At 46.5% G+C, this 26,448-nt stretch overlaps 1 protein-coding gene and 2 pseudogenes across 3 annotated transcripts in view; 2 read left to right on the forward strand and 1 right to left on the reverse strand.

The window, feature by feature from the left end:
- The window catches only part of DTX2P1-UPK3BP1-PMS2P11 (DTX2P1-UPK3BP1-PMS2P11 readthrough, transcribed pseudogene), a 42,940-nt pseudogene extending 29,032 nt beyond the window's left edge, over positions 1 to 13,908 (forward strand). Inside the window, exons 7-11 of the transcript NR_023383.1 lie at positions 2,027 to 2,166; positions 4,059 to 4,145; positions 5,819 to 6,002; positions 9,056 to 9,144; positions 13,741 to 13,908. The product of NR_023383.1 is annotated as a DTX2P1-UPK3BP1-PMS2P11 readthrough, transcribed pseudogene (transcript). The remainder of the gene's footprint in view (positions 1 to 2,026; positions 2,167 to 4,058; positions 4,146 to 5,818; positions 6,003 to 9,055; positions 9,145 to 13,740) is intronic.
- On the forward strand, positions 1,594 to 15,701 carry PMS2P11 (PMS1 homolog 2, mismatch repair system component pseudogene 11; annotated as a pseudogene).
- Positions 12,453 to 22,508, reverse strand: SPDYE17 (speedy/RINGO cell cycle regulator family member E17). Of its 2 annotated transcripts, NM_001351351.3 has the most exons (8): positions 22,387 to 22,508; positions 20,588 to 21,170; positions 19,380 to 19,598; positions 18,289 to 18,347; positions 16,976 to 17,061; positions 15,015 to 15,258; positions 14,788 to 14,892; positions 12,453 to 13,934 (listed from the first exon to the last, which is right to left on the reverse strand). In NM_001351351.3, the coding sequence occupies exons 2-7, from the start codon at positions 20,715 to 20,717 to the stop codon at positions 14,833 to 14,835; spliced, it is 798 nt and encodes a 265-aa protein (NP_001338280.1). In that variant the 5' UTR covers positions 20,718 to 21,170; positions 22,387 to 22,508; the 3' UTR covers positions 12,453 to 13,934; positions 14,788 to 14,832. The 2 variants fall into 2 exon arrangements, with proteins under 2 accessions (NP_001338280.1, XP_047275675.1); XM_047419719.1 differs by lacking the exons at positions 12,453 to 13,934; positions 22,387 to 22,508 and having other exon boundaries at positions 14,309 to 14,892.
- Between the last annotated feature and the right edge of the window lie 3,940 nt (positions 22,509 to 26,448).

Below are 26,448 nucleotides of genomic sequence, written 5' to 3' on the forward strand. Positions count from 1 at the left end.
TGCGGTGGCTCGTGCCTGTAGTCCCAGCTACTCGGGAGGCTGAGGCAGGAGAATCGCTTGAATCTGGGAGGCAGAAGTTGTAGTGAGCCGAGATCACACCACTGCACTCCAGCCTGGGCAACACAGCGAGACTCCATCTGAAGATAAAAAAAAAAAAAAAAGAAGAACCCAAGGGAGGGGGCACTGCCCAGCACAGGCACAGTCCCATCAGGCCCTGGGGAGCCATGCCAGGGCGTTCTGCCCAGCACAGTCACACCTAAAAGGGTCCTCAGCCGAACCCCATCCCCTTGAATACCAGCTCATGACGGCTTTGAGCAGAACATGTCACGGGAACGGCATTGTGTAGAACTTTTTATTAAATGGCATTTAAAATATTCCCCAGGACTGTGTAGCTGGGGAAACACCACAAAATCCATTGGCCCGGAACATAATGGCTCAATGGTACGAAACAAATGCATTGTTAAAAAGGAAAAACAGCAACTGTTGCGGGGTAATGACTTGCAGATGACTCAGCAGGCCAAACATCAAAGGAATTCGGATGGCAGCAGGTGGGCACAGGCAGCCAGGAAGCACCCCTCCCTCGCTCTCACTTCCAGCGATCGCTTTACCTCCCTGGAGTGTCTAAGCCACCCATTTCTCTCCATCATCCCTGCAATCCCCAAGCAAGAACCACCTTGGTCTCCCGCTGGGATGTCCGTGGTTCCTCTCTAGCTGAACTCTCCATGTCCACTCCTGCCCGTCGCCCATTCCCCTCTCAGTATCCAGAGGGACCAGGTTCTTTGTTCTTTTTTTTTTTTTTTTTTTAAGATAGAGTCTCACTCTGTTGCCTAGGCTGGAGTGCAGTGGTGTGATCTCGGCTCACTGCAACCTGCAGCTTCAGGTTCAAACGATTCTCCTGCCTCAGCCTCCCAGGTAGCTGAGACTATAAACGTGCGCCACCGTGCCTGGCTAATTTTTTTGTATTTTTAGTAGACGGGGTTTCACCATGTTGACCAGGCTGGTCTCAAACTCCTGACCTCAGGTGATCCACCCACCTCGGCCTCCCAAAGTGCTGGGATTACAGGTGTGAGCCACTGCACCCAGCCAGGACCAGGTTCTAAACCTGATCACATCACACCTCTGCTCCCAACATTCAGGAACTTCACACTGCAAGAACAGAATCTAGGTTCAGACAGGTGTGGCGGCTCACATCTGCAATCCCAGCACTTTGGGAGGCCAAGGCAGGCGGATCACTTGAGGCCAGGAGTTCGAGACCAGCCTGGCCAGCATGGTGAAATGCCATCTCTACTAAAAATACAAAAATTAGCCAGGCATGGTGATGGGCGCCTGTAATTTCAGCTACTTGGGAGGCTGAGGCAGGAGAATTGCTTGAACCTGGGAGGCGGAGGTTGCAGTGAGCTGAGATCACACCACTGCACTCCAGCCTGGACGACAGAGCGAGGCTCTGTCTCAAAAAAAGCAAAACAAAATAAAACATACCAACATCTAATCTCTATAAAATATTTTTAGAAGTTATCCAGGTGGGCCGGGTGCAGTGGCTCATGCCTGTAATCCCAGCACTTTGGGAGGCCGAGGCGGGTGGATCACTTGAGGTCAGGAGTTCAAGACCAGCCTGGCCGACGTGGTGAAACCCCATCTCTACTAAAAAAAAAATACAAAAATTAGCCGATTACAGGCATGAGCCACCCCACCAGGCCATGCTTTCAGTTTTCAAGAAAGAAGACACCATTGTTGCCAAAGGTTTTGGTAATTTGAGAGATACAATGTATGTTTTCTCCATGTGGATCCTAGATAGTAAGGATCTGTTGAATTTGAAGTATCTATCCAGAAGTATTTTGGGTACATGTTTAAGGATTGTAAAACAGTGTTTCTATTTCTGGATATAATAAATGTATTTGTTAATATAATAACTGAACAGATTAGACCCATAAACTATTTACAGTGTTGAGTCATTTCCCACAGTTAAAATCAGGATGAAAATATATAGCTGAATACTTGCTTTGTTTCTTGTAACTGATTTCTTTAGTACAGAACCTGCTAAGGCCATCAAACCTATTGATCGGAAGTCAGTCCATCAGATTTGCTCTGGGCCAGTGGTACTGAGTCTAAGCACTGCAGTGAAGGAGTTAGTAGAAAACAGTCTGGATGCTGGTGCCACTAATATTGGTAAGTTTGGGAGAGTTTTAAGCCACAAGAAATGATTAGTGTGTGTTGTTGTAGTCAAGAAACATTTGTTATTGAAATAAGACTATCAAGTGTTGATGTAGTAATAAACTATTATTTTTAAGTTAAAGTTAGCACCTATTATGTGCCTAGTACTTAGCTAGGTAGTAATAATAATAACGACAGCTTTTCTTGTGTTCTTATGGTGTGCCAGGCAGGTGTTATGCTAAGAATTGCACAGAAATATCTCATTTAATTTGCAGAATAGCTGGGCGTGGTGTCTGACGCCTGTAATCCTAGCCCTTTGAGAGGCTGAGGTGGGGGGATTGCTTGAGGCCAGAGTTCAAGACCAACCTGGCCAACATGGTGAGACCTCATCTCTATTAAAAAAATAAAGCAGGCCGGGTGTGGTGGCTCACGCCTGTAATCCCAGCACTTTGGGAGGCCAAGGCGGGTGGATACCTGAGGTCAGGAATTCGAGACCAGCCTGTCCAAAATGGTGAAACTCTGTCTCTACTAAAAATACAAAAATTAGCCAGACCTGGTGGCAGAAGCCTGTAATCCCAGCTACTGGGGAGGCTCAGGAATGAGAATTGTTTAAATTTGGGAGGTGGAGGTTGCAGTGAACCGAGATTGTGCCACTGCACGCCAGCCTGGGGACAGAGCAAGACTCTGTCTCAAAAAAATAAAATAAAATAAAATAAAATAAATCCTGGAGTAGTGGCTCACATCTGTAATCCCAGCACTTTGGGAGGCTGAGGGGGGCTGATGCTTTGAGGTCAGGAGTTCAAGACCAGCCTAACCAACGTGGTAAAACCCTGTCTCTACTAAAAATACAAAAATTAGCCAGATGTGATGGTGCATGGCTGTAATCTCAGCTCCTCAGAAGGCTGAGGGAGGAGAATTGCTTAAACCTGGGAGGTGGAGGTTGCAGTGAGCCAAGATCGATTGTGCCACTGCATTCCAGCCTGGGTGACAAGAGCAAAAGTCCATCTCAAAAAATTAAAAAAAAAAAAAAAAAAAAGGAAAGAAAAAAAAGAAAATGACAAAATTAAAAAAAAATTATTAATCTGCCAAATAACTTTATGAGATAGAACTTATTACCTCCATTTTACAGTTGAGGAAATTAAGGGACAGTAAATTTCCTTTTTTTGAGATTATAAAGCTAATAAAATAGAATCTAGGAAGTCTGATTCCAGAACCAGTTCTGTTTTTTTTTTCTTTTTTTTTTTTTTTGAGATAGAGTTTTGCTCTTGTTGCTGAGGCTGCGGTGCAATGGCACGATCTCAACTCACTGCAACCTCCACCTCCCAGGTTCAAGCGATTCTCCTGCCTCAGCCTCACAAGTAGCTGGGATTACAGGCATGCACCACCACGCCTGGCTAATTTTGTATTTTTAGTAGAGATAGAGTTTCTCTACGTTGGTCAGGCTGGTCTCGAACTACTGACCTCAGGTGATCCGCTCGCTTTGGTCTCCCAAAGTGCTGGGATTACAGGCATGAACCACTGCGCCCGGCCCCCGTTCTCCTTACTGGGTATGTTAAAATTATTTCTTTCAAAGGAAAAGGCTGGTCAAAGTGCAACGGTCTTTACAACTAATTGATCACAACCAGTTACAGATTTTTTTGTTCCTTCTCCACTCCAACTGCTTCACTTGACTAGTGTAAGGAAAAAAAAAAAAAAGAGGAAAGAAAGAAAATGCTAAACTATTTAATCTGGGCTAGTAAATGGCCAGAAAGAACTTTATAAAAATGAAATATACAAAATGACACTAGTATGTTTAACTAAAGGTATAGTTACGACACTTAAATTTGCACGTTATAAATAATATCAATATAAAAACTGATAGCGTGGGTCCATTTTTAATAAATATATAAATATTTTAAACTTTCTAGATCTAAAGCTTAAGGACTATGGAATGGATCTCATTGAAGTTTCAGGCAATGGATGTGGGGTAGAAGAAGAAAACTTCGAAGGCTTAAGTAAGTTAACTTTCTAATCCTATTATAAAATAATTGGGCCACATGTCTTAGAATTTTGAGTAACACTGTCTTGGGAAACACAAAAACAGTTTTTTAAAGCCAGTTACTAGATATCATGTATATTTGTTGTTATAGCACTTGAGATATCTTAGTCCTTACTTTACAGTCTCTTTCAGCTCTGAAACATCACACATCTAAGATTCAAGAGTTTGCCGACCTAACTCGGGTTGAAACTTTTGGCTTTCGGGGGAAAGCTCTGAGCTCACTTTGTGCACTGAGGTGATAAAATATTTTTATCCATTCACTTGACCCCTTAGAAAAACCTCTCTGAAAATTAATTGGAATCATTATTATTTACAATTTTCTATCTCAATATCTCAGCTTCTAGCTTCTGAATTCTGTTTTGTCTCACTGCCAATCTAAGTCCTAGTACTTCTGAAATGTGAGCAATAAATGAATGAAATGAAGCAAATAGTATTGTTTAAAAAATTGGTTACCCTTATTAAAACAGTAACTTCTCAATTTGAACATAACATATAGATAATAAATGATAGTTACCATTGGTTTTCATTATCAATTTTTAGGGAAACATTTCACCAAAGCACTATTTAATTATAGCACAGATACTAAATTTTTATAAATAATTACATGCACACACACATATATATACATATATATACATATATGTATACATATATACATATATATATATACATATAGACATATATATACATATATACATATATGTATACATATATATACATATATACATATGTGTATACATATATATACATATATACATATATATACATATATACATATGTGTATACATATATACATATATACATATATATACATATATGTATACATATATGTACATATATACATATATACATATATATACATATATACATATATATACATATATACATATATATACATATATATATACATATATATATATATTTTTTTAGACAGAGTCGCACTCTGTCACCCAGGCTGGAGTGCAGTGGCACAGTCTCAGCTCACTGCAGTCTCTGCCTCCCAGGTTCAAGTGACTTTCGTGACTCAGCCTCCTGAAGAGCTGGGACTATAGCGTGCACCACCACTCCTGGCTAATTTTTGTATTTTTAGTAGAGATGGGGTTTTGCCATGTTGCCCAGGCTGGTCTGGAACTCCAGGCCTCAAGTGATCTGCCCTCCTTGGCCTCCCAAAGTGCTGGAATTACAGGCACGAGCCACCGCACCCTGCCCTACATATACATTTTAATTATTATATCTTTTGGATTCTTTAAAAAAATTTTTAAAAATTTTAAAAAATTCTTTAAAAAAATTCTTTTAAAAAATTTTGTTTGAAGAGTAATAACAAAACAAATCTCTATTTGAGAATCAATAAATCTTGAGATCATTTATGGTTTTGCAATTCAACCTGAAAAATGAAGTCAGAGCTTTTATCAAAACAAAGCATGTTTAGTGCTCTCTGTCTCACTGTCTTTTAGATGCCAGACCTTAGATTTTGTGATGACTCCTCAACCGTTTAGATCTCGGTTATCTCAGAGGGATCATCAGCTTTTTAAGAAAATTTTGAGAGAAAAGCAAGTGAAGAAAAGAGTAGTCAGTGCCCAACATCACGGATCTCTCACTGAACACACCATGCCTGGTATTCTCTCACAGTGATGTCACCATTTCTACCTGCCACGTATCGGCGAAGGTTGGGACTCGACTGGTGTTTGATCACGATGGGAAAATCATCCAGAAAACCCCCTACCCCCACCCCAGAGGGACCACAGTCAGCGTGAAGCAGTTATTTTCTACGCTACCTGTGCGCCATAAGGAATTTCAAAGGAATATTAAGAAGGTACAGTAAATTAATCCTGGTTTTCAAGAGTATTGGTTAATGCACACGAGCAAAAGATTTACTAAAGATGTTTATTCTTCAGTTGATTCTCTTCCCATAATTTATTGAGAAATGCTTTATTTGCATTTCTCATTAAAGACTTAACTTCAGGATGATTTACTTTTTTCTTTTTATCACATAATGTTTATTAGGACTGGGAAACATAGTGAGACTCTGTCTCTATGAAAAATTAAAAAAAAAACTGACTGGGCATGGTGGCATGCACCTGTAGTTCCAGCTACTTGGGAGGCTGAAGTGGGAGGATCACCTGAGCCCAGGAACTTGAGACTGCAGTGAGCTATGATTGCGTCACTACACTTCAGACTGTGAGACAGAGTAAGACCCTGTCTGGAAAAATATATATACATATATATACATTTTTTTTATTTTTTATTTTTATCTTTTTTTGAGATGGAGTCTCACTTTGGCGCCCTGGCTGCAGTGCAGTGGCGCGATCTCAGTTCACTGCAACCTCCACCTGCCAAGTTCAAGCGATTCTCCTGCTTCAGCCTTCTGAGTAGCTACCATTACAGGCGCGCACCACCACGCCCGGCTAATTTTTGTATTTTCAGTGGAGACGGGGTTCCACCATGTTGTCCAGGCTGGCCAGGCTGGTCTCGAATTCCTGCCCTCAGGTGATCCGCCCACCTCGGCCTCTCAAAGTGCTGGGATTACAGGCGTGAGCCACCATGCCTGACCTTATGTACTTATATTTTTATGAGAATATTTCTCTTGGTTTTCTGATAAATGAGTTACTGGAACCCTTATGAATTTGAATGCAAATGAAACAGCTAAATGTTATATAATTGTTGTGTTTAAAAAGCAGATTATAAAACTGTCTGTATTATATGATTACAGTTTTATAAAAACAAAACAGGCCTAAATGTGTATAGTATAAAGACTGAAGAGTCAGCACTTCCATGTTCTCAGCGGTTATCCTTGGATGTGAGATCTCATGCACTTTTTGCTCTCTTCTTTGTGCCTTTCCATTTTGCATGCGTATTTCTTATAATCTAAAAAGTTACTTAAACATATGCAGCTAAAAACTTTTTTTACTTGTAAAGCGTTTGGTGCTAATTTTAACTTTTTTTTTTAGACGGAGTCTTCTCACTCTGTCGCCCAGGCTGGAGTGCAGTGGTGTGATCTTGGCTCACTGCAACCTCCGCCTCCTGGGTTCAAGTGATTCTCCTACCTCAGCCTCCCAAGTAGCTGGGATTATAGGTGTGTGTCACCACACCCAGCTAATTTTTGTATTTTTAGTAGAGATGGGGTTTCACCATGTTGGCCAGGCTGGTCTTGCACCCCTGACCTCAAGTGATCTGCCCACCTCAGCCTCCCAAAGTGCTGGGGTTACAGGCGTGAGCCACCACGCCTGGCTTTTTTTTTTTTAAAGCTTTTTTGTAAGTCAGCCAGCAAGAACACAGGAGGAAGTACTCAAATCTCCCTTACACAGCTGGGGGCTATGTCAGGTTTTATAAGCATAGGGTAATGAGGTGTGATTTGATTGGATCTTGCAATAAAGTAATGCTGGGAGGTGTGATCTGACTGGATCCTGCCATGGGGTGACACCAAAACTCAATCTGATTGGATCCTGGCTCCTGCCTGGGGGTGTCTGGTTCTTAAATCGGTCCGAGCTCTTCAGGCTGAGCTCTTAGGTTCCACTCCACGGTGGCACGCGTGGTTAACCTGGGCATGCACAGGGTACATGACCTTCAACCTGCAGGTCGATGGCAATTGGAAAACAACTGACAACTTCATTACATAAAAGTTGAACTGATTCGGGTGCGGTGACTCACGCCTGTAATCCCAGCACTTTGGGAGGCCAAGGCAGGTGGATCACCTGAGGTCGAGGAGTTCAAGACCAGCCTGGCCAAAATGGTGAAACCCCGTCTCTACTAAAAATATAAATATTAGCCAGGCGTGGTGGCGCACCCTTGTAATCCCAGCTACCCCAGAGGCTGAGGCAGCAGAATGCTTGAACCTAGGACGTGGAGGTTGCAGTGAGCTGAGATCGTGCCATTGCACTCCAGCCTGGGTGACAAGAGTGAAACTCCATCAAAAAAAAAAAAAGTTGAACTAGATTTGGTCTGATGGCAGTTACAGATTTACAAACCGCGTCCCACCCTCCTGCCAACACCTTCCACTCCTCATTCTTGAGGGATTAGGGATGGAGGTCATGCTTCTGTATCGACTTCATGCTGACCAGGGGCACTTAGTCCCCTAAAGTGAGAGGAATGAAACTCTTGGGCTTCTGAGTTCAGATGAGTTCTGGGGTCACCCGGAGTAGCTTGAAAGGCTGGTATTGTTGTAATACAAGCTGAAGGTGGAAGTGTTGGATCCTGGAGGACAAACAGCTCACCATCCATTTAAATAAATAGGACCAAAAAGTAACGGAACAGTGGCCACGAGGGGCCCCAACAGAGGAAGAAACCAGGTGAGGTGTGGTATAGTGGACTCGACTGCCTTCTAAATCTCAGTGGTTGTCCGGGTGCGGTGGCTCACGCCTGTAATTCCAGCAAAAGAAGAGCCGAGGCAGGGTGATCACGAGGTCAGGAGTTCAAGACCAGCCGGGCAAACATGGTGAAACCCCGTCTCTACTGAAAATACAAAAATTAGCCAGGTGTGGTGGCGTGTGCTGTAGTCCCAGCTACTAGGGAGGCTGAGGCAGGAGAATTGCTTGAACCTGGGAGGCGGAGGTTGCAGTGAGCCGAGATTGTGCCACTGCACTCCAGCCTAGGTAACAGAGCAGGACCCCATCTCAGTCAATCAATCAATCTCAGTGGTTGAACTACCCTTGATATGGTTCAGCTCTGTATCCCCAACCAAATCTCATGTCAAATTGCAATTCCCAGTGTTGAGGGAGGGACCTGGTGGGAGATGATTGGCTCATGGCGGCTGACGTCCCCCTTGCTGGTCTCGTGATAGTGAGTGAGCGCTCATGGGATCTGGTTGTTTAGAAGCATGCAGCACCTCCTGCTTCACTCTCTCTGTCTCTCCTGCTCCACCATGGCCAGAAACGTGCCTGCTTCCCCTTCGCCTTCTGCCGTGATTGTCAGCTTCTTGAGGGCTCCCCAGCCATGCTTCCTGTACAGCCTGCAAAACTGTGAGTCAATTAAACCTCTTTTCTTCATAAATTCCCCAGTTTCCAGTAGTTCTTCATAGCAGTGTGAAAACAGACTAATGGACCCTTCTGGTTGAAGGAATGTAGCCATTCTGCTTGTTTAAGTATTTCCTTTCTATTCATCTCTATTTCCCGGGAGGTGTTTATCCAAGTGCAATAGGAGATATTGGTGACTGCAGAGTCCCCTCAGTGTTCTGCTAGTAAATAGTTGAAGGTTGATCAGTGATCTCCAGCATTTTCAGTCTGGCATGGAAAAGCCCCCATGTAACTGGTAAAGGTATCAGTAAGCACCAGGAGGTATCTAAATCCACCAGGAGCCATAGGCATCATGTTGATGTCCATTTACCAGTCTTCCCTGGCAAGATTCTCTGAATTGTACTGCCTTGGCCAAAAGAGGTATGGGAGGGGCTGGGCACAGTGGCTCACGCCTGTAATCCCAGCATTTTGGGAGACCAATTCGGGTAGATCATTAGAGGTCAGGGGTTCAAGACCATCCTGGCCAACATGGTGACATTCCATCTCTACTAAAAATACAAAAAGTCAGCGGGGTTTGGTGTTGGGTGCCTGTAATCCCAGCTACTCGGGAGGCTGAGGCAGGATAATCACTTGAACCTGGGAGGAGGAGGTGGCAGTGAGCTGAGATCTCGCCATTGCACTCCAGCCTGGGCAACAAGAGCGAAACTTCATCTCAAAAAATAAAAAAAGAAGTCTGGGTGTGGTGGCTCGTGCCTGTAATCCCAGGACTTTGGGAGGCCAAGATGGGTGGATCACGAGGTCAGGAGTTCAAGACCAGCCTGGCCTAGATGGTGAAACCCTGTCTCGAGTAAAAATACAAATATTAGCTGGGCATGGTGGCACACACCTGTAATCTCAGCTACTCAGAAGTCTGAGACAGAAGAATTGCCAAAACCCGGGAGGGAGAGGTTGCAGTGAGCCGAGATCGCGCCACTGCACTCTAGCCTGGGCGACAGAGCAAGACTCCGTCTCGAAAGAAAGAAAGAGAAAGGAAATTCCCCCAGGGAAGTACCTCGGCTTATTTCATGAAGAGGTACTGAAGGAAGCAGAGGCATGTGGAGGACTTCCCCACCTCGTGCAGCTATTTGGGCCGTGGCGTCTGAAATTTCTTATTTCAGAGTCACCCCTTTGATGACCTTGGCAGTGGACTGCAGTCATCTGTTTAGGCCTTTCCATGGCCCGTGTCAATGCCGGTATTTCTGTCTGTTGCACATTTGATTTCCTTGTTGTTGGCATTTAGAAGGCCCCCTGTTTCCCAGATCACACCACGGGCATGGACCGCAGAGATTGCATCTTGTGAGTCTGTAGAAACAGTCAAGGCCTTGTCCTCTCTTAGGTCCAGAGCTCAGGTGAATGCAGATTTTCCCGGCCATCTGTGCTGAAGTCCCTGTGGGGAGGCTCCTGGCTGGTTTCCTGTAGGTAGACAGCTACACGTCCTGCCCTTCATTGGCTTCTTTTCATGAAGCTCCTGCTGTCTACAAAACATGTCTCCCTTTTCTTCTTGAACCACATCTCTGTTATTGAAACTCTAGAAGTCAGCCAGGCACAGTGGCTATGCCTGTAATCCCAGCACTTTGGGAGGCCAAGGTGGGCGGATCACCTGAGGTCAGGAGTTCAAGACCAGCCTGGCCAACATGGCGAAACCCTGTCTCTAATACAAATACTAAAATTAGCCAAGCATGGTGGCCACTGCACTCCAGCCTGGGTGACAGAGCAAGACTCTGTCTCAAATAAAGAAAGAGAAAGTATCATGCTTTTCAGAGTTCTGTGGGTTGTTATGGTGTATTATCAAACCTGAGGACGTGGTGGGAACCTCCAAATTTGCAGCCAGTTGGTGAGAAGTACATGCGGTCTGTGGACACCCAAGCTTGCAGCTGCATCTGAAGCGAGGGCAGCCTAGCGGGGGCTGGTGGCCTTAACCTGTGGCATTTGATGTAACATCAGGGAGTTGACATCAGAATTACGTCACACAGGCCAGGTGCAGTGGCTCATGCTTATAATCCCAGGAATTAGAAAGGCAAGATAAGAAGATTGCTTGAGCTTGAGTCTGAGCCCACAGTGAGCTATGACCGCACCACTGCACCCCAGTCTGGGTGACAGCACAAGACCCCGACTCCAAAAATAAAAAAGAAAAATCACAAAGAATTGCATGGCAGAGTGCCTGTCTTTCACAGCTTGAACTGTTGCAGGAACTTTCTTTTTTTCTTTTTTTTTTTTTTTCTTTTGTGATGGAGTCTCGCGCTTTCACCCAGGCTGGAGTGCAGTGGCGCGATCTCTGCTCACTGCAGGCTCCGCCTCCTGGGTTCACACCATTCTCCTGCCTCAGCCTCCGGAGTAGCTGGGACTACAGGCGCCTGCCACCGCGCCCAGCTAATTTTTTGTATTTTTAGCAGAGATGGGGTTTCACCGTATTAGCCAGGATGGTCTTGATCTCCTGACCTCATGATCCGCCCACCTCAGCCTCCCAAAGTGCTGGGATTACAGTCCTGAGCCACCGCACCTGGACTTTTTTTTTTTTTTTTTTTTTTTGAGAGGGGTTGGGGAGACATATTCTCTGCTAGTGATTCTCCTGCCTGGTCTCGAACTCCTGCTGGGATCACAGGCGTGAGCCACCACGCCCAGCCACCTTTAGAGTTTTCTTACCACCTGGTTTTCCTCTCTCAATATCTTTCTCTCATTTCCTGCTTTAAAACTCTAGCTTGGGGTCTGGGCACAGTAGCTCATGCCTATAATCCCAGCACTTTGGGAGACTGAGGCGGGTGGATCACTTGAGGTCAGGAGTTTGAGACCAGCCTGGCCAACATGGTGAAACCTTGTCTCTACTATTTTTACAAAAGTTAGTCAGACGTACAGGCGGATGCCTGTAGTCCCAGCTACTTGGGAGGCTGAGGCAGGAGAATTTGCTTGAACGCGGAGGTGAAAGTTGCAGGGAGCCGAGGTTGTGCCACTGCACTCCAGCCTGGGAGACAGAGCGAGACTGTCTCCAAAACAAACAAACAAACAAAAAAACCCTGTAGCTTGGGATCAGCCTTCTCTTCTATTGTTTTTCTTTAAAAAATAAAAATTAAAAATAGGCTTCAAGTGATCCTCCCGCCATGACCTCCAAAACTGCTGGGATTGTAGGTGTGAGCACTGCACCCAGCCGTATGTTTTTTTCTACATAAAAAACAGCACAGGATTATCTTCCAAAGCTAATAAATATGTTCAAATAACCACAACCCCATTAAGGAAAAATGTCACTTGACAGCAAATAATCAATCCAGACCACAATATGATCACACTCACTGTGAAGGTGAGAAAAGTTCATCTTTATTATGTTTCCCCAAGAGATGCACTGCACTGTTCTCTTGAAAACACACAGCTCATGTCCTCCTTTAGAACACACATCCTCTTTAAAGTAACATACAAACATGCCAAAACAAGATAAAAAATTCCATCTGAATTCTCACATTTCAAACATACACTAAATATCAAATAAAAATTTATTTTTACAAGAATTTAGGGGAACTACCACATAGCTATAAATGTAATATATATGTTAACTAAGTATCATAGATAAAAACCATGCTCCCTTCAGCAGCACGTGTAATAATAGATACAAAGATTGAAAGGTAAAAGATTTAGGATGAAAAGAATCCTCTCTTAAAAAGGAAAACAAAATTATATGTATGTGTATACAACAGTTATAACACCCATCACACAGCTTTATAGAAACAGCATCTATTCAAAAATACCAGTATTTCCAAAATATTTAAAATAATATTTAAAGTAATAATAATATTTAAATAAATAAATATATTTAATAAATATTTCAATAAATAAAATAATATTTAAATAATTCTGTACCCATGTTTTTCAAAATAAACCAATAAAATAGATAGTATACATTAGACGTGTTAGTATATATATCTGAGACATGTTAAAAATCACAACTGAATTCTCACAATTCAGTCACAAACCTAAACAGCAAATAAAAATTTCTATCACCAGAATTATGTTTTTTTCTGGTGGGGAACTACCAATAGCTATAAATAGAAGAGATTATTATGGAAGTATCATAGATAAAAAGAGTGCTCGCTTCAGGAGCACATATAATAATACAGAAAAAAATTTAAAGATAATAAAAGATTTAGGATAAAAAGAATTCTCACTTAAAAATGAAAAGAAAATTATCTTTATGTATATATAACAACTATAACTCTCATCAAAAAACTCTACAGGAACAGCATGTTTTCAAAAGTACAACAATTTCCAAACTATTTGAAATAAACCTATTAATAATTCAATGGCCAACATTTTCCAAACAAACCAATAAAATGCATAGTGTGCATGAAGCTATCTGTTACAGTCTGTGGCACTCATATTTCACAAAGAATTCTGTGCCAATCTGAGCCCTTGCACTGTGCCTTCAAATGCTCCTGGACTGTGGCAACCAAGTCCATAAGAAACAGGACCTCCAGGTTCCGCCCCAGGGAGGTTGGCATTCAGCAATATAAAAAGGGAGGTGGTGCCGCAGGAAAGGGTGGAACTGGAAACACTCCTGGTTTCTTACTTTTCTCCAAGGACTCCTAGAAGTACCCCACCCCACCCCTGCTCCTTGGAGGACAACGTGATCACTGTATTCAGCTCCATCAAGAATGGTCCAGGTTCTTCTAGATGATCTGCACAAATGGTTCCTCTCCTCCTTCCTGATGTCTGCCATTAGCATTGGAATAAAGTTCCTGCTGAAAATCCACATCTCCCCTGGGTCCGGTGTTCTGGAAGTGAGAGAGACAATGTCACACTTCAAGGAGGCAGCTCTCTAGACAGGAAGGTTATTCACGTCCCATGTCAAGTCTAGCTAGAGTTCAGAGCAATTGAGAAGTGCAATTTTATCTCCTGCCTTTCATTCTATACCCTGCTTCTGAACCATCGTGTTCAACTGTGAAACTCACACTTTGGTGACCCTGACTCCAAAACTTAATACACCCAAGGTCAGCCCCAGTGATCTGCTTCATAGCCAGGACTTTGGGTGGGTCTTCCCAGGGAGTAGGGCACCCTCAGAGAATGTGGCTTTGGACTTCATCACAGCTGGGGCCTTTTGTGTCACTTCAGATCTAAACTTGTAACCGTGCTAGATCTGCTTCTAACGTGACAACATCACGAACCACGAGTCCAGAAGCCTAATCCATAATCCTCCCTCCTCATGACGAAGTCTCATGCTCTGTGCTCAACATGGTTAGCTGCACAAGATGTAAACCAAAGCTTCACTGAACCCTCGACCCAAATCGGTAACTCAAGTGCATCAATCATAATGAACCTCCCCGAACTCAGTATTTATGATTATTTTTGAGGCAGGGTCTCACTCTGTCGCCCGGGCTGGAGTGCAGTGGCAGGATCAGGGCTCCCTGCAGCCCCGACCTCCCAGGCTCCAGCGATCCTCCCGCCTCAGCCTCCTGAGTAGTTGGGAGTAGAGATGCCTCCCACATCGCCTGGCTAATTTTTGTATTTTTGTGGAGAGGGGATCTCGCCACGTTGCCCAGGCTTGAAGCCAGATCAAGCAATTGGGTTCCTTGGATTTCCGAAATAGACCCCAATATTCTGCCTTTACCCCGGAGGATGCAGATGTACCTTCTCTCAGGCCGATGACCTCAGGCCTCCACGGTCCCTGGAGCTCTAGGAAAGGTGGGCGCGATCTCGCGCCCACACCCAGTGCTCTGGGTCATAAGCCTGGATCTGGAAAAACAAACGCGCTTTGAGAAGACGGGGACTCCCCAGGATACCCCTCTCTCCCCTCGTCCAGCCTCCAGCCCACCCGATTCCTCCCCACATCCTCCACGTCCCCAGGCCCCACCCACCTCTTCCAACTCCTCCAGGGAAACCCAAGCCCTGCAGCGCATGGAACAAAAGAAGTGGAACCGATACTTCCGGAACAAGGCTATCTGAGAGCAGTTCTTCCTGGCCCTCGGGTTCATGTAACGGCATAACTGGAACCAAAGCTCACTGAGCAAGGGTATATGAGAGCGGGTCTCCTCGTACAGGAAGTAGAAGATGTTTTGTTTGGGGGCCTCGTCGTCCTCCTCCATGTCATTGGCCAGATAGCTGAGGACAGAAATCAGGTTGCTGCTCAGGGGCACCACCAGGAGAGACCTCCGGCTGAGGTCAGCTTCTCAGAGAGGAAGGTAAGGGACCGTCCCTAGCTCAGGACTGGCACCCACCCTGCAGAGAGCCACGCCTTCCTCAGGAGGGCTCTGCTGGACAGAGACCTGATCAAGGGCGTCTCCCACTCCTTCAGGATGGAGACAAAAACCCAACTGGTGACCAAGAGTGGTGGCTTATGCCTGGAATCCCAGCACACTGGGAGGCCGAAGCAGGAGGATCACTTGAGGCCAGGAGTTTGAGACAGGCCTGGGCAACATAGCAAGACCCTCGTCTCTATTAAAAATATAAAAAATACGCCAGACGTGGCTCATGCCTGTAATCCCAGCGCTTTGGAAGGCTGAAGCAGGTGGATTGCTTGAGACCAGGAGTTTGAGACCAGCCTGGTCAACACAGAGAAACCCCATCTATACTAAAAATACAAAAATCAGCCTGGTGCGGTGGCACACCCATTAGTCCTAGCTACTCAGGAGGCTGAAGCATAAGAATTGTGTGAACCCAGGAGGCGGAGGTTGCAGTGAGCCAAGATTGGGCCCCTCCATTCCAGCCTGAGAGACACAGCAACACTCTTGTCTTGATAAATAAATAAATAAATAAATAAATAAATAAATAACTGTCCAGGTGTGGTGGTACAGCCCTGTAGTCGGAGCTAATCAAGAGGCTGAGGTGGGAGGATCGCTTGAGCCCAGGATATGGAGGCTGCAGTGAGCTATGATCTCACCACTGCACTCCAGCTTAGGGGACAGGGCAAGTCTGTCTCAAAAAAAAAAAAGCAATTGAATACACTGATATTTTGCCAGGACCCTGCCTTCTACAGGCATCTAGTCTAATGGGACTGGGAGTAATCAGGGGAGATGACCTAATCCCAATGTCACATTATAATAGGATGTAACTGGAGAGCTACGGGCATGCAGAAGTTGGAAGACGAGGGAAGGCATCACAGAGGCTGTGAGGTGAACCGACTTCAAGGAATGGGTCCTTCCCTTCAGAGCCACATGTGTGCGGGACACCCAGACAGAAAACACAAATGCAAAGTCAAGTGGAGGGCATTTGGAAGGAGCAGTGAAGCCAAGCCAGGAAACACCAAGATGGCGAGCCAGTGTGGTTGTAGAGATTGTAGAGAGGGTGGAATTGGCACTGTGGACCCTGGCCTCGATAGAGAAAGACATCAGCTAAGGAAGTTGTTCAGGTGGGCAGTGAGGTTGTCGTGCTTTGGAAAGATGTTCAGGCTGCACTAGGAAGCCCCTTGGCTTGGGGAGAGACTCCAGGAAACCCCAGCAGGGAGCATTTGACAGTGGATTCGAGTGATGCAAGGGGGACCTGGACTGTGACCTCTGTCACGGGAACCCGGAGGAGGCTGATGGCTTTTGCGGTTGATGTGGGAAGGAGAGAGAGAGAACAACCGGAAACGTCTGCTTGCTGGGGGAAGTGTCATGTCCGCTCCTCCGCTCCTTTTCTTCTCCCCTTAGGAGCGGTTCATGGTTCCTTTTGTTTTTTGTTCTTTTTTTTTTTTTTTTTTTTGAGACTATAATCCTGTCTTTTTTGTACACAGAGTAAAGAGGACAAATAGGTGAAAGAATAAATGAAAGGCTGGAATCCCACTTCCCCCGCTGTCCCAGGGCATTGGATATTGACGGATAGGAGGCAGCAAACCACTCACAGAGCCAGGAAGAAATGAATGCGTTGGTATTGCCAGGAGGGGAGGCCGGCCCGGCTGAAATACGCTATGACCATAGCCAGGAGATACTGATGGAGAGAAAGGAACACAGAGAGGGAGAGGTCACATCTTGGGAGAGGAAGATTGTGGATATAGTGGAATGGGGGTCTGGGGAGGGGTTGCCCATCAGAGAAGGGACCTCAGTGTTGGGGTGACTGTGCTCATGTGGAAATTGCGGGGTGGAGGGGTATTCGAAGGTCGGATGCAAATCCGAGAAGCCGGAGGAAGGGTTTTCGGTGATGCTCCCAGGATGGTGGGCTCCGATGGGATCTTTGGAGGGGGTGTGTCTAGGTCGGCTGGTGTCAGGAGGGTCTTTTGTGTGCCAGGCAGAGAACTGTCCCAAGGAGCTGAGAGTAGAGGGCCCAGGAGCTTCAGGGCTGCAGCCAGACTGTGGCCCAGGGCTCAGATCCCAAAGGACCCATAGGAGAGGCAGGGGCCACTCATTCACTCTGCAAGAGACCAGCAGAATCCTGACGGAGATGCTGACAAATCATAAAAAGACAAAGAATAGCCGGGAGTGGCAGCTCAAGCCTGTGATCCCAGTACTTTTTGAGAGGTGGAGACAGGAGGATCATGTGAGCCCAACAGTTGGAGAACAACCTGGGCAACACAGCGAGACCCTGTTTCTAAGAAGATTTCAAAAATGAGTTGAGCATGGTAGCATGTGCCTAGTCCCAGCTCCTCAGGAGGCTAAGGAAAGAAGATTGCTTGAGCCCAGGAATTAGAGTGAGCTATGATCATGCCACTGTACTCCATCCTGGGGAGCAGAGCTGGACTCTGTCTCAGAAAAAAAAATGTGTGGGTGCCAAGACTCAAGACCATGGGAGCTGGTCAGACACAGTGCTGACGTCTGTAATCTGAGCACTTTGGGAGGCCAAGGCGGGTGGATCACCTGAGGTCAGGTGTTCGGGACCAATCTGGCCAACATGGCAAAACCCCGTCTCTACTAAAAACACAAAAATTAGCCAGGCATGGTGGTTCATGTTTGTAATCCCAGCTGCTTGGAGGCTGAGGTGGGAGAATCGCTTGAACCCAGGAGGCATCAGCTGCAGTGAGTCAAGATCGAGACACTGCCCTCCAGCCTGGGCAACAGAGCAAGACTGTGTCTCACAAAAAAAAACAAAAACAAAAACAAAAAAAAACTGTAGGAGCATCTGGTGGGAGGTGGTGGACGGAGAACTGTGGGTTTGGAAGCTGCGCCCTCTCCCTGGCCGTGCGTTAGAACAGGAACACAGTTACATAGAGAACAACCTTACCTTGTCCGACACCCTCAGATCTTTGTCCCAGGCCAGGAGTCTTTTAATGACAGGATCCTCTGTGATTAGAGAGCAGATGTCAGTGTGAGAAGCAGGACAGGGTTTCCCTGAGAGCAGCAGGGCAGCGAGGAGAAGTGTGCCTCCCGGGGGAAAGTCTCAGGATTGTGGCTGCGGGTGAGGTGGATGGGAGAGGGGAGAATGACTTTCACTGGGCAAGGGAGAGAGGCTCCTGCTCTGAGACTCCCCTGAGAAGAGGCCGAAGGAGGCCCTGGGTGTGAGAATCTACAGGATGTAGAGCTGGGAATCAGCCAGGACCCCCTCCAGCAGACACGGAGGGACCACTGCAGAGTCATAAAGGAATTCCCATCATTTCCTCATGAGACAGTCACACATCAGGGTGTGACCATGGCCTTGGTATCCCTCACTATGGATGGAAACACTTAGGTTTAGAAAAGTCAGTAAGAAACATTAAGTTTCAGAGGGCACAGCTGAAACCACTTTTTTGATTTTTGATTTTGTTTTTCTTTATTTGATTTTTATTTTTATTTATTTATTAATTTATTTTGAGACAGAGTCTTGCTCTGTGGGCCAGGCTGGAATGCATTGGCCTGATCTTGGCTCACTGCAACCTCTGCCTCCTGGGTTTAAGCAGTTCTCCTGTCTCAGCCTCCCGAGTAGCTGGAACTACAGGGATGAGCTACTGTGCCCAGCCTTGGTTTTTCTTTTGACGCAGAGTTTTGCTCTGTCACCCAGGCTGGAGTGCAGTGGTGCAGTCATAGCTCACTGCAGCCTCAAAGTCCTGAGTTCAAGCAATCCTCTTGCCTCAGCCTCCCAACGTGCTGGGATCTCAGGCGGGAGCCACAGCGCCTGGCCCAAAACCAAGCTTTCTTATCCCAAGCACCGACCTTTATCAAGTCTACCTAATCCTCTGTTGTCTCCTAAGTGTCCCTCATGAGTGATCACTTCAGAGTCCTCCCGCATGGAGAGCTCACCCACTGGGGCATATTTTTCCCATTGGAAAAGTGTGGTTATTGGAAGTTTCCTCTTTAGAAAGAACAGGATTGGAGGTGCTCTCTGGGGTGTCCTCCTACCAAGCAGCCTGTTGAAGGCCTCGTAGTACTCAGGGAGCACGAGCGACACTCGCCGTCGCTTCGCCTTCATCTTGAGGCCACACAGCGTCTCCGCCACCCAGGTCTCCTCAGGCTCAGGGGCGAGCTCCTTCTCTGGCTCATCATCAGATTCATCCAAACATTCCCTCTTCCTTTTCCAGCCAAGGGACCTACGTGGGGGGCTGGGATCTACCCCAGGGGCTGAGTAAAGAAACCAGGCCACCGTGTAATGCTTCTGCAACTGATCACGTTAGACCCCGACCCCAAACCCCAAACCACTCTCCATCCTCCCCAGCCTCGCAGACTGCTGGCTTCTCCAAGCCACCTTTCTGACTTTCTCCTCTGCTCAACCCCATGTGCCACTCCTTCCCCTCCCCATTCTTCCCTCTCTCTGTCCTCAGAACACTGCCTCATATCCTTCCCTGGTCCCTGGCTCTCTGAGTCCCTCTTTTTTTTTTTTTTTTTTTTTGTTTCGAGACAGAATCTTGCTTTGTCACCCAGGCTGGAGTGTAGTGGTGCAATCTCAGCTCACTGCAACATCCATCTCCCGGATTCCATTTATTCTCCTGCCTCAGCCTCTCAGGTAGCTGGGATTACAGGTGCCTGCCATAATGCCCAGCTCAATTTTGTACTTTTAATAGAGACAGGGTTTCACCATGTTGGCCAGGCTGGTCTCAAACTCCTGGCCTCAAGTGATCTGCCTGCCTTGGCTTCCCAAAGTGCTGGGATTACAAGTGTGAGCCACTGCACCCAGCCTGAATTTCTCCATTCTTCCCACACACCCTCCCCAGGTTCTCCTTCCTGACCTCTGACCCTTCTTTTGTTTCTTCTTTTTTTTTTTTTTTTTTTTTGAGATAGCATGTCACTCTGTCACCCAGACTGGAGTGCAGTAGCACGATCTCGGCTCACTGCAACCTCTTCCTCCCAGGCTCAAGTGATTCTCCTGTCTTAGCCTCCCAAGTAGCTGGGATTATAGGCACACACCACTACCGCCTGGCTAATTTTTGTACTTTTAGTAGAGATGGGGTTTCACCATGTTGGCCAGGCTGGTCTTGAACTCCTGACCTCAGGTGATCTGCCCGCCTCAGCCTCCCAAAGTGTTGGGGTTACAGGGGTGAGCCACCACGCCTGGCCCCCTTCCTTCATCTTAGTCAATCCTATGCCACCTCTTCTTCCTCCAGTCCCCTCACCTGATGGTCCCGACACTTCATCATCCACCACCTCCTGGAGGGGGTACCCTGAGGTGCTCCGCTGGGGGCTCCGCTCTTCCTGGGGCTGCGGTTGATGGCTCATCATGATCTTTCCCAAAATCTGTCCCATCTCACCAAACCTAGTCTCTGTTCTGTCCTTGGTCTTCTTCTGGACACTGCTGGGATCCAGAAGAGTGTGTTATCAATTCTCGAGGCTGGGAGAAGTCAGGAGTGGAGAACAGCTCTGAGAAGTTACTGTTGTCCAACTGAACTCCCAGGTGCCGACAGAGTCCGGTCCCTCCAATCAGGAAGGTCGGAATCTCTGATGTCATCGCTCATGCCAACCTGGCAACCAGTTTGAAAAAAAACACATGTAACTGCCAGGCTGATCTCTTGTCCTGGAGATCCTGGGTGAATGGTATCTCCTGCCACTGTCCCAACCTCAGACCACTGTCCAAAAGCATCTTCAGGGTCTCCGCATCCCTCTGTTCCCTGTCCCAGCAGAGGCTGTGTCCTCTCCACTCAAAGCTTGAAGCGTGTTGGGGTCTCCTCTTCTCTGTACATGCCCGTTTCAGAGTCCAGTCTGGTGGGAGAGGGATCAGGATGGGAAAGAAAAGTAGGGTAAGCAGAAACGATGAAACCTTACAAGAGTGAGATTATCATGTACAAGAGATCCCAGGAACATTGACTTGATGAAAAAGTCACATCAGAGCACTCAATTTGGCAGAGGTTTTCTGCCGAGTGTCTACTGACATTCACTGTCCGAGATTCTGTACTGGGGGTACACGCGTCCTCTGCCCTAAGGCATCTTTGAGTCCAAGAGATATTTTGAGGACTGGAAATCATAGGAAACTGCCCATGAGTTCACACATATTTCCAATGGTGTCCCCAATTTCAGGGAGTCCACGGATCACCTAAAGCCAGCCCCTCCAGTTTGGCTAAGAAACTCTATATATCAAGTTTTGTATCATATGTATTGCTCTTAACTCAGAAAATTCCACCATTTATAGCAGTGGTTTATTTATTTATACCATTGAAGGAAATGGTTTATTTATGAATCTATATTATGGATATTCTATAAGATACTGGGTGTACAAAAAGACTAAGTCGAAAAATCTCAGCTGTGCACAGTGGCTCATGCTTGTAATCCCATCTCTTTGGGTGGCCAAGGGAGGAAGACTGCCTGAGGCCAGCAGTTCAAGACCAGTATAGGCAACATAGCAAGAGCCCATCTCTAAAACAAAACAAAACAAAACAAAAAATTAGCCAGGTGTCGTGGCTGGCACCTGTGTTCCAACAACTTGAGAGACTGAGGTGGCAGGAGGATTGCTTGAGCCTAGGAGTTAGGGGCTGCAGTGAGCTGTGATCGTGACACCGCACTCCAGTCTGGGCAACACAGCAAGACCTTGTGTCAAAAAATTTTTTTAAATTAAATATAAAAGAGTTTCATGACATTCAGAGACCATCCAAAGAACCTGTGGGTTCCGGCCAGGCACAGTGGCTCACGCCTGTAATCCCAGCGCTTTGGGAGGCCATAGCAGGTGGATCGCTTGAGGTCAGGAGTTTAAGAGCAGCCTGGCCAACATGGTGAAACCCCATCTCTTCTAAAAATACAAAAAATTAGTCAGGCATGGTGGTGGGTGCCTGTAATCCCAGCCACTCAGGAGGCGGGGACAGCAGAATGGCTTAAACTTGGGAGGCGGAGGTTGCAGTGAGCCAAGGTCACACCATTGCACTCCAGCCTGGGCAACAAGAGCAAAACTACATCTCAAAAAAAAAAAAAAACAAACAAAAAGAACCTGTGGATGAGTTCCCACATGGCTTCCTAACGGGCTGCGGCTCTCCTAGGAGTCTCTCGCTCATGGGAAAGGCACAAACTGAATGCGGAAGGAAATCCCATTGCTATGGAAGTCCCATTGTTAGGAAGCTCTGCTTTTCTGGAGTTCAAATTTGCATTCATGACGCTTTAAACCGTCAGAGCTGGGTGTGTCCTCCTACAACAAATCACTTTACTCTCTCTCCTAGTTAACAGGCTTTCAAATATTAGAACATCCATGTTCTGACTTCATTAAAATTGCTCTTTTGTGGAATGAAAAGCTCTGATTTAACCCGTCTTTAAGCCTGGTATGCATATTCCTCTCTGTTCCGGCCACCTTGTCTAGACACACTACACTGAGGCAGTGCCCATCTTAGATGATGTTGATACATTGTCAAAAAATGGGCAAACCAGGTGCGGCGGCTCACACTTGTAATCCCAGCACTTTTGGAAGCTGATGCCGACAGATAACCAGAGGTGAGGAGGTTGAGATCAGCCTGGCCAACATGGTGAAACCTGTCTGTTTTTCTGTAAAAATACAGAAACAATGAGCTGGGCGTGGGAGTGCACTTCTGTAATCCCAGCTACTTGTGGGGCTGAGGCAGGAGAATCACTTGAACCGGGAAGGTGGAGGTTCCAGTGAGCCGAGATCACGACACTACACTCCAGCCTGGGCGACAGAGTGAGTCTCCGACTCAAAAAAAAAAAAAAAAAAAGTGCCAGACAGCCCAGGTTTGGTCTGATATGTTCAGAAAAAAGCAAAACAGTCACCTCTCACCTTTTCTTTTCCTGCAATGATGCCGTTTAATACAACAATGGCTGTAGGTCTGCGGCAGAAATATCATTCAAGTGAAACAGAAGGGCTTTCCTGGCTGGACACAGTGGTCACTCCTGCAATCCCAACACTTTGGTTGGCTAAGGTGGGAGGATTTCTTGCGGCCAGGAGTTCGAGGCTGCAGTGAGCTGTGATCCACCACTGCATTCCAGGCTGGGCATCAGAGTGAGGCCTGTCTCTAAAAAAACCCTTCACTCCCCAAAAAAAGGGATTTTCAAATACCAGCCTTTCAGCATGAGGATCACATGGAGGAACATTAAGACACAGATGCTGGGACCCAGCCCTATTGATTGTAATTAAAAAACTGAGGTGAGGCCTGATTTAGCTCCATCATTGGAATCCATTCAGATTTGAAATTCTCTGAGTTGGACAGTGCAAGAGAGATCCTAAAGAAAGCAAAGTCACTGTGGACTGAAATGAGCTGGCAAGGTTTTCTGAGCGTGGTGAAATATGATCTGGGCCTCGCTTGGGAGGGCTGTGGCCAGGCCTTGAGTCCGTGGCTCAGTGGGACCTTCTGAAACAGCCTCCAATCCGTGCCCCCACTTCATTTGCTAGTGGATGACCCCCTCCAGCGGCTTTGGTGCTGATGGGAATAAGTCAACCTGCAGCGGAAGTTCAGCCCAAGTTTCAGCCCAGCAGCTTCTACACACCTGTCCGTGGTCTGGTCATGCTGCCATCTCTGCGGTTCTCTGCGGAGTCGTGGTTTCTGTACCTTGAAGAGAACTTCCCCTCTGGGACCCAGAAACCCAGTGAATCCTCAGGAAAAAAGGGAATGAAATTACTGAAGACAACTCTGTGGCGGGGAGATGGAAAAGAGGCTCTCTCTCTCTTTTTTTCCTAATATTTTGAGACAGAGTTTCGCTCTTGTCACCCAGGCTGCAGTGCAGTGGCTCCATCTCGGCTCACTGCAACCTCTGCCTCCCAGGTTCAAGCGATTCTCCTGCCTCAGCCTCCCGAGTAGCTGAGATTACAGGCACCCACCACCACTCCCGGCTAATTTTTGTATTTTAGGGTTTCGTCATGTTTGCCAGGCTGGTCTTGAACACCTGACTTCAAATGATCCACCCGCCTCTGCCTCTCAAAGTGCTGGGAATACAGGCATAAGACACTGCACCCGGCCTGTTTTTGTTTTTTAGAGACAAGGTCTCTGTTGCCTTGGCTGGGGTGCAGTGGTACAATCAGCTCTCTGTTGCCTCCTGGGCTCAAGCAATCCTCTTCTCTCAGCCTCCCAAGTAGCTGAGACTACAGGTGCATGCCTGTAGTAGATATAGCATCTTGCTCTGTTGCCCAGACTGGTCTTGAACTCTTGGTCACAAGCGATCCTCTTGCCTTGGCCTCTCAAAGTGCTGGAATTACACGCGTGAGCCATTGAGCCCAACCAGATAAGATGATCTTTAAGGGCCCTTCCCATGGTACCATAATCCAAGTCAGCGAGACTGTGGCTATAGCAAGTTTAACATAACCAGATACGCTAGTATTATGGGCTGCATGGTGTGCCCCCCACCCCTAATTCATGTATTGAAGCCATGACCCTCCAGACCTTAGAGGTGACCTTATTGGAACCAGAGTCTTTACAGAGGTGATCAAGTTAAAATGAGGTCACTAGAGGCCAGGCACGGTGGCTCACACCTGTAATCCCAGCACTTCGGGAGGCCGAGGCAGGCAGATAATGAGCCCAAGAGACCGAGACCATGATGTCCAACATGGTGAAACCCTGTCTCTACTAAAAATACAAAAATTAGCCAGGCGTGGTGGTGTGGGCCTGTAGTCCCAGCTACTCAGGAGGCTGAGGCAAGAGAATCGCTTGAACCCGGAAGGCAGAGATTGCAGTCAGCCAAGATCATGCCACTACACTCCAGCCTGGGTGACAGAGTGAGACTCTATCTCAAAAAAATAAAAATTAAAAAACTAAAAACCTACAGTACCGCCTTTTACATAATGCAATGGTTTGGTAAGCACATGCACCCCAGGGAGGTAGTGGCAGATTCAGTCAACCTTCCCAGCAGCGTGGAGACGCAGTCAGGCATAGCAGGTGTTGATGTGGTTTGAACCCACAGCTTGGCTCAAATCCACACTCCCCTACTTAGTACCGAGTGAAGCCACTTACCCTCTAAGTGCCTTACTTTTCTTTTCTTTTCTTTTTTCTTTTTTCGAGACAGAGTCTCGCTCTGTCACCCAGGCTGGAGTGCAGTGGCATGATCTTGGCTCACTGCAAACTTCGCCTTCCAGGTTCAAGCAATTCTCCTGCCTCAGCCTCCCAAGTAGCTGGGATTACAGGCGCCCACCACCATGCCGGGCTAATATTTGTATTTTTGATAGAGATGGGGTTTCACCATATTGCCCAGGCTGGTCTCGAACTCCTGACCTCAAGTGATCTGTCTGCCTCGGCCTCCCAAAGTACTAGGATTAGAGGCATGAGCCACCACACCTGGCCACTTTTCTTATCTATATTTGTTATGTGGATGACTTGTGTTAACGCAAATAAGATGCTGCTCGTCATCTTTAAAGAAAATAGGTGGCAACCTGTTATAGCAAGTCCTGTTTTTATTTGTACTTATGAGGCTTTAATTAAACGCTAAGAATTAAAATGCACATAATAATAGACTTTACCTCACAAACTGGCTTCAATTATTCGATGAGACTTACATGTATTACTTAAATGAGGTTAAATTTAACCTTTTAAAAATGATTTATTGTGGCTGGGCACAGTGGCTCACACCTGTAATCCCAGCACTTTGGGAGGCCAAGGCAGACGGATCACTTGAGGCCAGGAGTTGAAGACCAGCCTGACCAACACGGCAAAACCCCATCTCCGCTAAAAATACAAAAATTAGCCAGGCATGGTGGTGCACACCTGTAATCCTAGCTACTCAGGAGGCTGAGACACAAGAATCGCTTGAACCCGGGAGGCAGAGGTTGCAAGGAGGTGAGATCACACCACTGCACTCCAGCCTGGGCAATAGAGTGAGGCTCTGCCTTAAAACAAAGAAAAATGATTTTGGGGGATGATGGGGTGTCACTATGTTGACCAGGCTTGTCTCAAACTCCTTGCCTCAAGCAATCCACCCACCTCAGCCTCCCAAGTAGCTGGAACTACAGGCGCATGCCACCACGCCTGGCTAATATGTGTGTGTGTGTGTGTGTGTGTGTGTGTGTGTGTGTGTGTGTGTGTGTAGAAACAAGGTCTTACTGTGTTGTTTAAGCTGCTCT

This window comes from Homo sapiens, chromosome 7, assembly GCF_000001405.40.
Source record: "Homo sapiens chromosome 7, GRCh38.p14 Primary Assembly".
Taxonomy (NCBI): Eukaryota; Metazoa; Chordata; class Mammalia; order Primates; family Hominidae; genus Homo; species Homo sapiens.

Excerpts from the sequence above, each read along its gene's own strand:
- SPDYE17 (NM_001351351.3), bottom strand. The coding sequence starts at position 20,717 with ATGGGACAGATTTTGGGAAAGATCATGATGAGCCATCAACCGCAGCCC. Across the intron at positions 18,348-19,379 it reads GGCCTTCAACAGGCTGCTTG|AGGATCCTGTCATTAAAAGA; the intron begins GTAGGAGGACAC and ends CTCTAATCACAG. Across the intron at positions 14,893-15,014 it reads CCCTGGAGGAGTTGGAAGAG|ATCCAGGCTTATGACCCAGA; the intron begins GTGGGTGGGGCC and ends TTGTTTTTCCAG.